Source organism: Homo sapiens, chromosome 6, assembly GCF_000001405.40.
Source record: "Homo sapiens chromosome 6, GRCh38.p14 Primary Assembly".
Lineage (NCBI taxonomy): Eukaryota > Metazoa > Chordata > Mammalia > Primates > Hominidae > Homo > Homo sapiens.
Window position 1 is genome coordinate 52587081 of NC_000006.12, and position 15462 is coordinate 52602542.

At 44.1% G+C, this 15462-nt stretch overlaps 1 long non-coding RNA gene across 1 annotated transcript, besides 2 other annotated features; it reads left to right on the plus strand.

The window, feature by feature from the left end:
* Nucleotides 2106-2250: an enhancer, noted in NCBI's record as "145 bp enhancer 62 fragment used in the MPRA reporter construct; PK_construct_1043". NCBI's record gives its function as "activates an SV40 promoter by MPRA in HepG2 cells {active_cell/tissue: HepG2}" and the evidence as "EXISTENCE:reporter gene assay evidence [ECO:0000049][PMID:23512712]".
* Nucleotides 2173-2184: a transcriptional cis regulatory region, noted in NCBI's record as "FOXA motif; enhancer activity is reduced when this motif is scrambled". NCBI's record gives its function as "necessary for full MPRA enhancer 62 activity {active_cell/tissue: HepG2}" and the evidence as "EXISTENCE:site-directed mutagenesis evidence [ECO:0005528][PMID:23512712]".
* On the plus strand, nucleotides 6725-15151 carry LOC124901330 (uncharacterized). Its single transcript, XR_007059610.1, has 2 exons — nucleotides 6725-6764; nucleotides 9122-15151. It is a non-coding gene; the product is annotated as an uncharacterized LOC124901330 (long non-coding RNA).
* The last annotated feature ends 311 nt before the right edge of the window (nucleotides 15152-15462 follow it).

Genomic DNA, 15462 nt, shown 5'->3' on the forward strand with positions numbered 1-15462 from the left:
CTCCCTGCTGGACCAATAAATGAACTCTTACTACGTGCTTGGAAGGATGATGGATGAGTGAGCAGAAGATAGATGGATGGATAGGTAAATGGATGAGTGATGGATGTGTGGGTGGATGGATGCATGCATGGATGAGTGGATCGATGGGTGGTAGGTAGATGGATGAATGGGTGAATGGATGGTTGCTTGTGTAGAAAGGTGGCTGGGTGGATGGATTAATGGACCAAAGTGTGGAAATCTGTATCATTCCATTTTTATGTTGATACCTGAGGTAATTACACAGTGAAGATGCCCCAAGTGGATTCTGCTTCCACGTAAAAGATATGTTCAGGACGAAAGTTATGTTTAGATTTGGTAGAAGTTTGCCTTGGGGTAGACTTTAAGACCCTGAAAGGCAGGGATCATAGCTTTCCATCTATGAGAGAGTAACCATCATTGCCTGCCACATAGTAGGTACTGAGTAAATATTTGTTGACAAACATGTATGAATGAATTATTTGGGAAACACAAGGATGGCTCTCCTTGACTCTGAAGTTCAACCCCACATTCTGATTCTTCATGCTTATACAGTTTTAAAATTGCATTTCTTTATAAATCGGTTAGGCATCCAGAAGTGTCCTGTTATGATGCAAAACATTCTTAGATGTTAAAAATATTAAACCCTTTGCATCTGTTGTCCCTTTGTCAGGAATTAGCTGGTCACATTACTGTCTCCTTGATTCTTTGCTGATGATGTTGGGCATGGGGCAGGTCTGGTGGTTTCTCTGACTGGGCTGAAGGACTTTTGCTGACAAATAGGAGAGGGTCCTTTACAGTAGGAATCACCAAGCCTGCAAGGAAGGACCCAAAGACTCCCCTCTCTCATGATCTCAGCAGCCAACCCCTGCCCATAGTGCCTTCTTGGCAGCCGTGCTCCTGATTTGAAGGGAATTCCTCACTTTGTCCCATGGGTTTCTGCAAGCTGAGCAGGACACCTAGGTGAGGACAGAAGTAAAAAGAGAAGAGGAAAGGTGAGAGCGAGAAAGAAAACATGAGAAGGGAGACACACAACAGTAAGAAGAGAAGAGAGGAAAGAGAGGGATATGAGCAGGGGGTAGGAGAGACAAAAAATAGATTGTATTTGCAGCACAATGCCTCTAGTAATAATATTACCATTATCTTGCCTGAACAGATGTGCAAGGACTCCCGTCTACTCATTATCCAACATGACAATGGAACACGTTTCTATCAGCCTCATCGGAAATCTTGGCAGATGCTGTCAGAAAGTGTGTGCTGTTCCTGAGATGTGATTTTTCAACAGTGTAGACTGTACTATTTGACTAGGGGTGGGAAAAAGAGGAGCGGGAGTTGATTGTGCTTTCTTTTGGTTTTGTTTTTAATTTTGAAATTCTTCTCTCCAAGGGGGCCTTGCCTTGGACTATGTCCAGCTTTGCTGAATAGCCATGTCTGCATGACCAGTGGACTGGGGCTGGCCAGCAATCCCAGGGCCACACCAAAGCCCAGTGCCGAGGGCCCATTTCTTTGAAATAGTTCCCTCATGGCTCTCACTTCCCCTTACTCCAACATTATTCGTACCTACCATGCCCCGCTATTCCACTTCTGCCCTGACCTCAGTGTCTTGCATTGAGACATTTGAAGAGTGTGGTTCAAGGAAAGAGCATGTTTGTTCCCAGCTGAACAAGGCTCAGGGAGACTAGCAGTGCCAGAGACAGGAGTGGGCAACATTTCTGTGTGAATTAAGCCATGCAGTGTGCAAGTTCCCCATGGCAAACACCACCTTTCCCTGGGAAGACAGCCAAGGCCTGGAGCCCCATGTAGGAAATCTCCTGTGAGAGGCCCTTCCTGAGCTCCACAGAAAATGATTCTTTTCATAGGCACTGAGTCCCCTTTTTTTCTAGCCATAAATGCCCACATCACAGTCCCCCTTCCTGGCCTTCTACACTCTGCTCCCGTGCCAAGTGCCCTCACCCAGGCCCCCTCATAGCTCATGCACCCCTTTCCCTTCCTTTCCACACTCAACTGGCCTCCCCAAGCCCTCAGAAAGCCTATTCCTTTCCCCTGCTGTGCTGTTGACTCTCCCTCCATCCTGCACTCTATGCCTCTCACTTGAAACTGCTCCATGCCGTGACCTAACATCTCCAGAGGCTCCTCTCGGGTTGAACAGACATGATTTGTTGACTTTGCCAGATTAGCAAAGGGAGCAAATTCCATAGATTCCTCTGCCCCTAAGTCTCAAAGTGCAGACCTTCATCTTGATAGCAGGAGCGAGGTGATGGAGGCAGCCTGGGATTGCATAAAACAGTAACAGCAATATGATGACTCTGTAGGGACAATTACTCCCTGGCAGGTCTAAGGGCTAAGCCTTAATCTTTCCAACAAGGCTCTGCAGTAGGTATTATTACTAGCCTCATTTTGTAGTCGAGAGAATGGAAGGCCGGGTGCTGTGGCTCATGCCTGTAATCCCAGCTCTTTGGGAGATGGGCAGATCACTTGAAGTCAGGAGTTCAAGACCAGCCTGGCCAACATGGTGAAATCCCGTCATTATTAAAAACACAAAAATTAGCCGGGTGTGGTGTAAACCCAGCTACTCCAAAGGTTGAGGCACAAGAATCGCTTGAACCTGGGAGGCAGACGTTGCAGTGAGCCAAGATTGCACCACTGCACTCCAGCCTGGGCAACAGAGCAAGACTCTGTCTCAAAAAACAAAACAAAACAAAAGGCCCGGCAAGGTGGCTCACGCCTGTAATTCTAGCACTTTGGGAGGCCAAGGTGGGTGGATCACCTGAGGTCAGTAGTTCAAGACCAGCCTGGCCAACATGGTGAAACCCCGTCTCTACCAAAAATACAAAAATCAGCCAGGCATGGTTGTGGGTGCCTGTAATCTCAGCTACTCGGGAGGCTGAGGCAGGAGAATCACTTGACCAACACTCTCGCCTTAACCTGGGAGGCAGAGGTTGCAGTGAGCTGAGATTGTGCCACTGCACTCCAGCCTAGGCAACAAGAATGAGACTCTGTCTCAAAAATAAATAAATAAATAAAAGGAAAAAGAAAGATGTTAAGTGACTTTTTCAAGGCCCTGAGTTTGCAAAAGACAGACCCCTAGCATGCCTGGGGAGGGGCTTTGTGCACTCATCCGGCTGCCTTTCCTGGCATGCCCTGGGGATGGCAGGAAACCTGGATCCCTGCCCAGCTCTGCTGTTTCTAGGTAGGTTACCTCAGGTCAGACACATTCATTTCCCAAGTTTCTGTTTTCTAATCAGAAAAACTGTGGGATTTGAGGTGATTTCTTAGGGCCTTTTCCATATGGTGATGCTGTCATTTTTTTTCCTAATGATAAAAGTATTCAGAAAGCTCTTCAAATTTTCTGGACTCAGGGTCAGTCCTAGGCAAAGAGAAGAAATAGGAGGCAACATTGATCTTTGGTGACACCTAAAGGCTCTGTGCAACCTTTTCCTCTGTCCAGAGTAAGCCTTTGGTGTAATCCCTGCTGCCTCTGGGGACCCCAGGGCAAAGTCTTGGGGAGGGCGCAAAGAGGGCTTGTCCATCACTTGAGGACGCAGAGGACGCATGTGCCCTGCACATCAGGATGAGTAAACCTGAGCTCCTTACTAAAATAAAGCTGTCTTTTGAGTGTGTCCTCACTTGTAACCGGGGTAAATGCACTGACCAGTGCTAGTCAAAGATGACCTCAACAACTGCTCCATTCCAACTGTCTTGGGCAAGAGGGGAGTGACTGTTTATGCTTTGATATGAGATGGAGTCATAAATACTGTTTCAGATGTTTCAGATGCCAGGGGAACATATGATCAGAGACACCAGCATCATACTGTCATGCCAGGAAACCTTCAGTGACTGCCTGCTAGAGGAAGTTCACATCCCTTAGCTTGGCTTCAAGGAACTCCAGGAGCAACACTCTCGCCTTCCCACCTTGGCCTCTGCCTTCCCTAGCTAGACACCCATGAGTATACATTCCCCCAATTCCCCGACCAATTTTGACTGAGCCAGCAGCACATCAAGGGTTAACCCTTACCATTTGTGAAAATTTTGTATCATCATATTTGGTTGATTCTAAGATGCACACTTTTTCTCATATTAACCTCTTACTCATTTAACATTGATGTTACAATCAATGACATGTCATTGTTTTGTGGCACTTTTTCTTTCTTAGTGGTTTGTAAAATAATGGTGCATCGTGACTGAAGGCCTCTTGGATTTGCTGAAATACTGGAAGTAGCATTCTCCAGATTTGAGCTCTAGCAGCTCTGCCAGAAGCCGGGAACCTGTGTGCCCATACTCTGAGTTTGTTTTCCCAGTTAGGACTGGGTCCTAGTGTAATGGGGTGATATCTGGGAACCTATATAGCTCCCTAGATATAACCAAGGGTGATATTCAAAGTGTTTAATGACCATACCAGGCCAGGTGCATTGGCTCATACCTGTAATCCCAACACTTTGAGAGGCTGAGGCGGGCAGAACATTGAGGTCATGAGTTTGAGACGAGCCTGGCCATTGTTGTGAAACCCTGTCTCTACTGAAAATACAAAAATTAGCCAGGCATTGTGGCAGGTGCCTGTATTCCCAGCTACTCAGGAGGCTGAAGCAGGAGACTCGCTTGAACCTGGGAGGCAGAGGTTGCTGTGAGCTGAAATTGTGCCACTGTACTCCAGCCTGGGTGATAGAGCAAGGCTCCGTCTCAAAAGAAAAAAAAAAAAAAAGAATTACCATACCAATTAGAAGAGAAGATGACTGAAAACAACTGGCTTGTGTATCCTGGAGCTTACCTGCTGAACCCCAGGCCTACTACCGTGCTCCTTACCTGTTTGTTCTCCACTCATCTCATTCCTTATTTTATGGATACTTGACAGCACACTCAGGGAACATGGCCTGTTGCCCATTCCCAGGAGACATTCCCTAATCAGGGTGAGCCAAGCATGGTTACCCCAGGCTACTTTAGGGGAGGGTATGTGTACTAGTTTTCTGTTGCTGTTGTAACAAATTACTACAACTTTAGCTCAAAACCACACACATTTATTTTCTTACAGTGATATAGGCCAGAAGTCTGGTTCATGTCTCACTGGGCTAAAATCAAGGTGTCCACAGGGCTGTGTTCCTTTCTGGAGGCTTGAGGGTAGAATCTGTTTCCTTGCTGTATCAGGTGTTGGCTGATTTTAGTTCCTTGCAGCTGCAGGACTGGGGTCCCTGTTTCCTTGCTATCTGTTATCTGGGGGTCTCTATTAGCTTCTAGCAGCCTCTCTTTTTTTTTTGTTTTTTGTGGTTTTTTTGTTTTTTTTTTAATGATTAAGTATAGAGTTTTTTTTAGGCTAAAGCTTGAGGATAGCCACCTGAGGGCATACATTCAAGTTGCCCTGAGTGCACATTCCTATTAGCAGTAGTTACAGGTGGCACTTGTTTGTTTTTATTGCTACATTATATTTATACATATTTAAGGGATCTCTCTCCTGTTCTTATACATCACCTCCTACATCTCATCCCCAAATACTTCCCACGCTGCCATCTCCCTTACTCCCCTGGGCTAATGTGATTAGATGGGGCGCACTGGTAATCCAGCATAGCCTCCCCATCTCAAGATTCATGCCCTTAATCATATCTGCAAAGTCCCTTTTGCCATGTAAGGTAACATAGTCACAGGTTCCAGGGGACTAGAATTTGAACATCTTTGACAGCATTATTCTGCCTATTACAGTATGTAAACCATCCTTGCCAATGAAATGTAGAGAGAAATCTGCTGAGGCTTGCAGGGAGGATTTTGCTCTCTGATTAAAAAGAGAGACATTAAGGAGGTCTGCTTTGATTGAGGTGATGTGAGCTTGGCAGCTATCTAATGACCATAAGGCCCTAACATCAAGAATAAAAGCAGACACACTGAGAACAGCAGTAAGAGTATCAAAGTGAAAAAGTAGAAAGAGCTTGGCCTTTTGATAACAATGTTTAGCCACCAAGCCAATCCTAAAGCACCTACTTCCAGACTTCTTGAGAGATACTTTGCTATCTTTATTGCTTAAGCCACTGTTAGTTAAATATTGTTACTTGTAGCTAAAATCATCCCAATAGTCTGTTACTTATAGCTAAATCATCCCAGATCATCCCAATATTCTGTTATTTGTAGTTAAGTCATCCCAGATAAAATTTAACACCTTTATTATTGGTCCATTTCAATAATACCTTGATTTACTGCTTGGTAATTAATTTGTCTGTCCTACCTATTAGTAGTATCTTGGTCCTACTATAGTACTCATACTACCCACCTCCTCCCTAAACTTTTGCCTATTTAACTAAGGTCCTGGCCTCCTGCCTAGTTTCTCCTGACACCCTCTTTAGGGGCTAGGCAAGGCCCCTATATTTCCAGTTATGGCTGGGGATTAGTCTTGGATGAACAGATCTCCCCAGCCCATGACACTGCCTATAGATTGTACCTCCTAATTGAGATGATTGTCTGAATTATACCTGACTTTGCTGCCTTTAAAACATGATTACTTGGAAAGCTGACTGACTTCACAGTGGCTCCATCTCCCCAGCCCTGACCCATCCAGTTTCACTGTTTAATCCTGCATTTCCAGGGTCACATCATAATACACTCTGTCCATCTTGATATCTCTGGTGTCTCTCCTTTTGTTTTTTTGAGACAGGATCTCGCTTTGTCACCCAAGTTGGAGTACAGTGATACAGTCTTGGCTCACTGCAGCCTTAACCTGCTAGGCTCAAGTGATTCTCCTGCCTCGGCCTCCCGAGTAGCCGGGACTACAGGTATGCACCACCATACCTGGTATTTTTTTTGTAGACATGGGGTTTCGCCGTATTGCCCAGGCTAGTCTCAAACTCCTGGGCTCAACTGATCTGTCTTAATATCCAGGCATACTAGACCACTGGCCATTCTTTGACTAGTCTTTTCACTTTTATGCTTTTACTCAACTTCTCATGCTGGTCCTGTAATCAGAAATGCCCTTTCTAGACTCTTATATCTTTACCACTAAATCCTCATGACAATCTTGTGAGGAGGTGCTATTATTCCCATTTTGCCAATGATTAAAAAAAATTAGGTAACTTATTTAGGGTCATACAGAGTGGCAGACTGGGATGCTAATGCAGGTATCTCTTACTTCAAAGCTCATGTCCTTTCATTCCCATGTTTGGCATTTTAGAGATAGATAGTGCCCAACCCAAGACTTGAAGGACTTATTTCCCTCAATGTGTTATAAGCACCCTGTGGGCAGGTCTGATTATTTATTGACCACTAGAGTCAGTGGCGTGCTTGTAAAGGGTTAACAACTGACTCTCCAAGGGGCATGGGGGAGGCCCTGATTTACAGAGGTTTTCTGAGTCCTGTGGAGTAAATACTCCCATCTGTCTGATTCCGAGCTACTAGCATGACGTATGTCACTGAACAAGGGGTAGGGAACAGGTGCGCAGTAGCACACGTTAGAGGGTATTTCCACTACACAGACATCATTCATCTGAGCAGCCTCAAGGGCACAGTTAATAGTAAAATGGGAAATAATTAAGAAATGATGAGTTTGTATCTTTATTAACTTCATTTTAAATCTGATTTATTCAACAGTTATTTTATGTAATTTAATCTTTAATAATCATTACATTTAACAATCAGTTTGCAAATTTCCTAAAAATTTAACAATTAGACTCATAAACTGGTTTGAACTAGCTCCAGCTCACCACTGCTAGAGTCTATTATAATACTTTGCTTTTAGTAGACACGGAATGGTGGTAAGGATGCTAATAAAAAGAACATGATTCTCCACTTATGAGCTTTGAATGCAACTGGTAACCCAGATTTCAATATTCTTTCCTACATCTGAGACTTTCTTAGTTCTATCTCTCACACTTAACAGAAGGCCAAACAAAAAATAGTTGAGGGTGGATACCAAAGAATAGCCAAAGCTCCAACTAAGGACTGTGAATACTGAACTCTGCCCAGGGTCAGGGTGGGGCCCGATGCCTGCTTGCAGTTGAAAACAGTCCTCTACAATTGGGCTTGAGCAAGCCTCTGAGCTATAACTGTCTTTCCTCCTCGCCTCTTCCTGACCACACCCACAACAAGAGAAGCACTGAAGAAAAAGCACCAGTCATAATATTCTATTACATTCCAGAAAGGACAACCTCCCAGGAAGTGGGGAGCCTAGAAAGAAGTAAAACCTAAATTGCATCCTCCCAAAGGAGGCGAAGTCCTGAACTTCAGCTATCTTAACCTTTTGTTATGGGTGCAGTGCTGATCTTAATGGAAACTGGAGTGGGCAGGCACAGCTTAGGGAGAGAGGGACAGCTGGTGAATCAGCTGTGTTGCATTACAGTCAGCACTATCCCTGTCATGGTTCAGGGATTATACCATATATGGACTCAGGCTCAGGACAGGCGAGCCCACTGATTTGCTTCAGGACTCCCCTAGAATTGCATCTTGGGATTAGGTCATCATTACTAGAAAAGGGAGACCCCAGAGAGGTTGTCAGTATGAAGAAATCAGGACCAACTGTGGTCTGGTAAGGCAAAGATGAAAGAAGGAGGGTGCAGCCGAGCTGTGCTTGGGAATGAAGTCCAGAGCCTGAGAAAGCTGTGGGAGTGATTCTGAGAGTGGTTGCAAAGGGAGTGAGGGTTACAGCAGAGGACCGGCCCCCTTCTGCAGACTCCATCCTGCCTCTCACCCGCCTGGGGCTGCAGGAGCTGTATCCTGAGGCAGACTCAGTCCAGTTTAATAGGGATCAAGGGGAATAGCTCCCAAATTTTAAACATGAGAGGCAGTTTCTCTTACTGTGGGTGAGGGTGGCTGTGATGCTGCTGAAGATGCAGAAACCCTACTGGCCAAGTTGGAGACAGTCCAGGCTCTGAGTTATTCTAAGGTCAAGGTGGGTTCACCCAAGCAGAACACAGCTCATTAACCTCCATCCCCCAACTCTCTGTTCAGGCTGGGTGATACAGCCATGTGGGGCTATGGGCATCTAGGGGGAAAGAGAGGAGAGAGGGATGGGGGAGTGATCTGGGAAAGCAGCTTTTAAGAGATGGCCAATAAGTTGTATCTAATTTGTAAAGATTAAACTACTTTTTTTTGGTGTTTGACCAATTTCATTGCTTTAACTTTTTTTTTTGTTTTTAAGGACCAGCTTGAAGTGTTTCAGGACACTTCTCTCTGTGTGTGCCTCTTGATTTTGTTCAGAAGCCCAGTACTATGGAATACTCTATCGCAGTGATAATTAACTACTCGATATGCAAAACACAGACAAATCTCACAAACATAATGTGGAGCAAAAGAAGCCAGAAACAGAAGAGTACTGTGAAATCCCATTTATGTCAAGCTCAAAACCAGGCAAGACCAATCTGTGATGTTAGAAGTCAGGATAGTGGTCCCTTTGTTGGTGGTTGTGGCTGGGAGGGGCTAGAGGGCTCCAGGAGTGCTGGTAATGCACTAATTCTTTGTCTGGGTGCTGTTTACACAATGTGGACATACTGGGCTGTCCATTTATGATCTGTGCACATTTCTGTACGTATGCTGTATTTCAATCAAAAGTCTCAAAAAAAAAAAAAAAAAAGAGAGAGAAAGAGAGAAACCAGAATGTAATCTTGTGAAATAAGTAGTCACAGGAAGTATGAACTATGTGCCAACCAAAATAAGCCTCTGAGGATTGGTGAGGCTGGAGAACAGTATCATAGGGCTAAGAGTCAGAGAACCTGATTTCCAGTCCCACTTCTGTTATTCACTGGCAAAAGGATGCTGGAAACTTAGCTCCCCTCAACTCATAACAGCCAGTGATTAAATGAAGGCCTTCAGGAAAATCTAAAGATGTTCCCCATTCCATGCCTTGCCAGGAAAGGTTAAGGATCCCAGCTGAAGACCAAACACGAAGAAACTTGGATGACTAGTAACAATCTCATGTTTGTATAATGCTTCCCACTCCCAAAGCACTTTCATAATCATTATGCCATTTGATTTTTCATAATAAGATCAGGAACGCAGGCTCTAGGGCCAGACTGGCTGGGTTGGAATCCTAGCTCCATCTGTTGCTAGCTGCTTGACCTTGGGCACATCGTCCCTCTGCCTCAGTTTCCTTATCTGCAAAACAGGGACATGAGGGGATTCAATGAATTTAACATGAAAAACATTTACAATGATGCCTACCACAAAGTTATCATTTGATAAATGTTAGTTAAAACAGGAACAAAAGTCCAGATAGTGTTATCTAGATTTTATAGCTGAAGAAACTGAGGCTCACAGGTTATCACAAGACTAATTCACAGCAGATCCAGAACTGAAACCCAGGCCTTCTGGGTTACAACACTGACTTGTTAGGTTATCTGGAATAATCTAAATGGACTTGTCTATTTTTATGTGATAATAATAATAACAATAATAACAATAACACTACCTTTTACTGAGTACTCACTAAGTGTTTTACATACTATGTCTCATTTAATCCTCATAAGAATCTATGAGGCACGTGTTGTTATCCCCATTTTAAAAAGGGACAAACTGAGGACTAAACATTGAGAAAGCAAACCTGGATCACCCAGCTAGTGACAGGGAAGGCCAGATTCTGAATGCAGGTCTCTGCAAACCCAGGACCTGCGTTTTCAACCACTTACATTCCATAACCTCTGGATAGAAAAAGACCACCATGGTTACTGCTTTATAAACATTTGGGGGTTTCTGGGACAAATTGGGTGATTTTTGTAAGTTCCCCAAGGTCAGAAAGAGCCCTTCTTATCCATCTTTCATCCTTCTCCTGTGCATCAGGTACTGGACCTCCATAGGTGTCCCAGAGGCTCCCATGGAAGGATTTGCAAATCAGGTTCCAAGAGCTTAAAAAGCCAGGCTTAGTAGTGGAGAGGCACCAGATGAACTCTTGATAGCCCAGGCAAGAACTGGGCACCAGCAGCATTACTTGATGGTGTCAAAGAGGTAGAGGACCAAATGCCAGGATGCAGAGGGAGCCATGGTGCCTGGACACAGAGACTTTGCCACAGCTATCAAGTTTGCAAAATGAAAACAAAGGGAGAGATTAATGAGACTCCACCTAGAAGCAGCCACTCCTGGACAGGCTGCCCTTCCTAGATGGCTTCAGATGGCTGCCAGGGAACATCTGCCTGGTTAAGATTTCAAGTGAAGACCTAATCGAAGCAGCCCTTTGGCAGGCTTTGCACTGGCCGGCCTGACTCTGACATACGCTCCGATGCCCACACATGGTTGTGGCTGGCAGCTCAGACAGACACGACTGTTTTGGCTTCTGTCATTTCTTTTTCTTCCTCCAGGCGCTCAAGTTCTTGATCCCAGCTCGCCTGATTAGGGGTCGTCATCAGTCCGCGCACCCTGCCTGTACTTCCTGGGGCCCCCTGGTGGATGATCAAAGGATAAAGGGATAGTTGGAGGCAGGAAAGAGAGAGTTGGGGATGATAGTGCAGTGGACTGTGTGGATCTTTCCCCATAGGCTTCTAAGAAGTCTTTTGTGAATATCTCTCTCGTCCCCCACTGGGTGAATGATTTACTATGACTAAAGGGGCCACACACACAACAGCTCTCACCCTGGAATGGACTTTGAGAGGGAAGCAAAAGGAAGCATTGCCTTCTTTCCTGGACTTCCCTTTGGAGCACCCCACAACTCTCAGGGGATTTAGAAGGTAACACATTTAGAGCTTTCCCAAAAGAATGTGCAGCTGTGGCTTGAGCAAAAGGTGTTTACTCCCACGGAGGTGGGATTTTTATTGCTAGTTTCAACATCAAGTAGGTGTGAAAGTTATATACAAATCCTGACAATCAATACCACCTGAGAAAGGCGAGAAAGAGGGCTGCATGGGCCAATGCTTCACAAACTTAAGGTGCACAGCTTGGAAGCATTGAATTGTGGGGGGTGGGGATCTTGTAAAGTGAAGATTCTGAATGAGTAGGTGTGGGGTATGGCCCACAGTCTGTGTTTCCAACATGCTTCTGCCACAGGAAGACTGCTCTGGACTAAGAAATAGTCCTGTGCATTTCTTAGCACCAACGCTCACCTCCCCCCACCAAAAACATGAAATAAAACAAAACAGGGACATTGCATTTCCTGGAAGTGTCTTACATGACACCAATTAAAACTATCTTTTTTTCTTGCTCATAAATATATTCTTTTTCCTTTTTTTTGAGACGGAGTCTCTCTTTTTTGCCCAGGCTGGAGTGCAGTGGTGTGATCTCAGCTCACTGCAACCTCCGCCTTCCAGGTTCAAGCAATTCTCCTGCCTCAGCCTCCTGAGTAGCTGGGATTACAGGAGTGTGCCACCACACTCGGCTAATTTTTTGTATTTTTAGTAGAGATGGGGTTTCACTATGTTGGCCAGACTGGTCTTGAACTCTTGACCTCAAGTGATCCACCTGCCTCGGCCTCCCAAAGTGCTAAGATTATAGGCGTGAGCCACTGTGTCTAGCCTAGAAATGTATTCTTTTTTTTTTTTTTGAGATGGAGTTTCGCTCTGTCGCCCTGGCTGGAGTGCAGTGGTGCCATCTCGGCTCACTGCAACCTCTGCCTCCTGGGTTCAAGTGATTCTCCTGCCTCAGCCTCCCGAGTAGCTGGGACTACAGGCGTGCACCACTACACCCAGCTAATTTTTGTATTTTTAGTAGAGATGGGGTTTCTCCCAGCTAATTTTTGTATTTTTAGTAAAGATGGAGTTTCACCATGTTGGTTGGCCAGGATGGTCTCGATCTCTTGACCTCGTGATCCACCCGCCTCAGCCTCCCAAAGTGCTGGGATTACAGACATGAGCCACCGCGCCCAGCCAAAACTTATTCTAAAAGGTTTGACTGATGTACATAAAAATCACTGGAAAACATAGTTATAGGTAAATTTTATTATTTCTTTGTGTTTTTCTACATTTCCCAAACTTTCTACAAATGAACCTATATTGTTTTTATTTTTCTCGAAGGCTAAGTTTGAAACATCTTGTGTTGTTTCAAGACCTTTCTTTTCCCCCGGTGCTAGCTAGACCAGAATGGATTGTTTAACATCTCAGGGCAGATGTCTGAACCTTTGCAGGTGTTGGGAGACTCAGAATCTTCTGGTGTTGAGGAGACCAAGCTTGGTCAGGTCGGGACCATGTTGAATCACTGTTTAACACTGAAGGAAGGCCAGGGAAGGCCTGTGAGGGACACGCAGTCTCTGCCTCCTGAGGTCATGCTGATCGCTTGCTGGCCCAAGTCTAATTTATTTTAGTTTCTATGTCTGTGAACAAGGCCAATGTGCATGAATGATGGTCTGGCATCTCGATCCATGTTTACAAATCAATGAGCAGACCACCTAAATCAGTGAACTGTGCATTTTATAGATGAGAAAAGGCAAGTTGGGGGAAAGAGACTGGAGAGGGTGGTGGTAATTATAGAAATGAGACTTTCATAACTCAAGTTTCCATCCCATGGCGTTTTCTTTAAATAAGGGATTCCCAATCTTCAGAAGCACTAGTGCAGTATAACTTTGGATAAACACAGTTCTGTCTTATCAGCACATTGTTTTGTATTCAATAGGTACTCAATGTTTAATATGTTATAAAATATAATTTTTGAATACATTTTTTTTCTGTGATGGTCGGAGCACACAGCACAGAGCAATTTTAGGAAATTGCCATGCTTTCCAATAGTAGCTATAAGCTTTGTGTATCCAGTCACCCAGGACCTATTTGTTAGATAGGATAAAAGAACATTGAAGTGACAAGATTTGACAGAAAATCTAGGCAATACCATTCAGGACATAGGCATGGGCAAAGACTTCATGACTAAAACACCAAAAGCAATTGCAACAAAAGCAAAAATTGACAAATGGGATCTAATTAAACTAAAGAGCTTCTGCTCAGCAAAAGAAACTATCAGAGTAAACAGGGAACCTACAAAATAGGAGAAAATATTTGCAATCTGACCAAGGTCTAGTACCCAGAATCTACAAGGAACTTAAACAAATTTACAGGAAAAAAACAAGCAAGCCCATCAAAAAGTGGGCGAAGGATATGAACAGATACTTTTCAAAGGAAGAAATTTATGCAGCCAACAAATATATAAAGAAAAACTCATCATCACTGGTCATTAGAGAAATGCAAATCAAAACAACAATGAGATATCATCTCGTGCCAGATAGAATGGCGATCATTAAAAAGTCTGGAAACAATAGATGCTGGTGAGGCTGTGGAGAAATAGGAACACTTTTACACTGTTGGTGGGAGTGTAAATTAGTTCACCCATTGTGGAAGACAGCGTGGCAATTCCTCAAGGATCTAGGACCAGAAATACCATTTGACCCAGCAATCTCATTACTGGGTATATACCCAAAGGATTAAAAATCATTCTACTATAAAGACACATGCACACGTAATGTTTATTGCAGCACTATTTACAATAGCAAAGACTTGGAACCAACCCAAATGCCCATCAATGATAGACTGGATAAAGAAAATGTGGCACATACATACCATGGAATACTATGCAGCCGTAAGAAAGAATGAGTTCATGTCCTTTGCAGGGACATGGATGAAGCTGGAAACCGTCATCCTCAGCAAACTAACACAGGAACGGAAAACCAAACACCACGTGTTCTCACTCATAAGTGAGAGTTGAACAATGAGAACACATGGACACAGGGAGGGGAACATCACACACCGGGGTCTGTTGGGGAGCGGTGGACAAGGGGAGAGAGAGCATTAGGACAAATACCTAATGCATGCTGGGCTTAAAACCTGGATTATGGGTTGATAGGTGCAGCAAACCACCACGGCACATGTATACCTAGGTGACAAAGCTGCACGTTCAGCACATGTATCCCAGAACTTAAAGTAAAATTAAAAAAAAAAAAAAAAGAACATTGAAGTGACAAGATTTGGGAGGACTGAAACAAAACAGACTACAAGGAACAGGAGAAAAGGGACAATTGTAAGAGTGGTAATATTCTTTTATATTTATGCACGTAAGATGGCTGTACTGGTTTCAAGCATCTGACTTTTAATATTTGAAGAAATAAAATTCTTGCTTAGGTCCTTCCACCCGCTGTTCAAGATTGAAGATTGACCTTCTGTTACCATCTTAGCTGATCTGTCTGCTGCTGCCTTTTTGCTTGTCCTACTCAGTTTTAAGTAATTTTCATCCTTCATGCTCTGGGCTGCAAAAATAAATATAAGCAACATTTGCTGTCTTCATCTCCAGTCTTCATTCTTCTAGGTCCTTTATTCCCTCAACCATGACCTTTCCCACCGGTGTTCAATATTTCCGTGGCTTCCTCTTAGAAAAAAGGAGAAATTCCTTTATACAGAGGTACAAACAACTGATAACGGTTTAGAGTAGCATAAATAAGTTCTATTTCAGGCCAAACTGGCAGACAAAATTCTTCTCCTAAGGATCTCCTTGCCTGGTTTTGATCCTTTGTTTACGGTGTTAGGATGTCTCTTGGTCTAGGAGTACCTCCCTAAGGCTCTCTATCCGCTAGGGAAAGGCTCC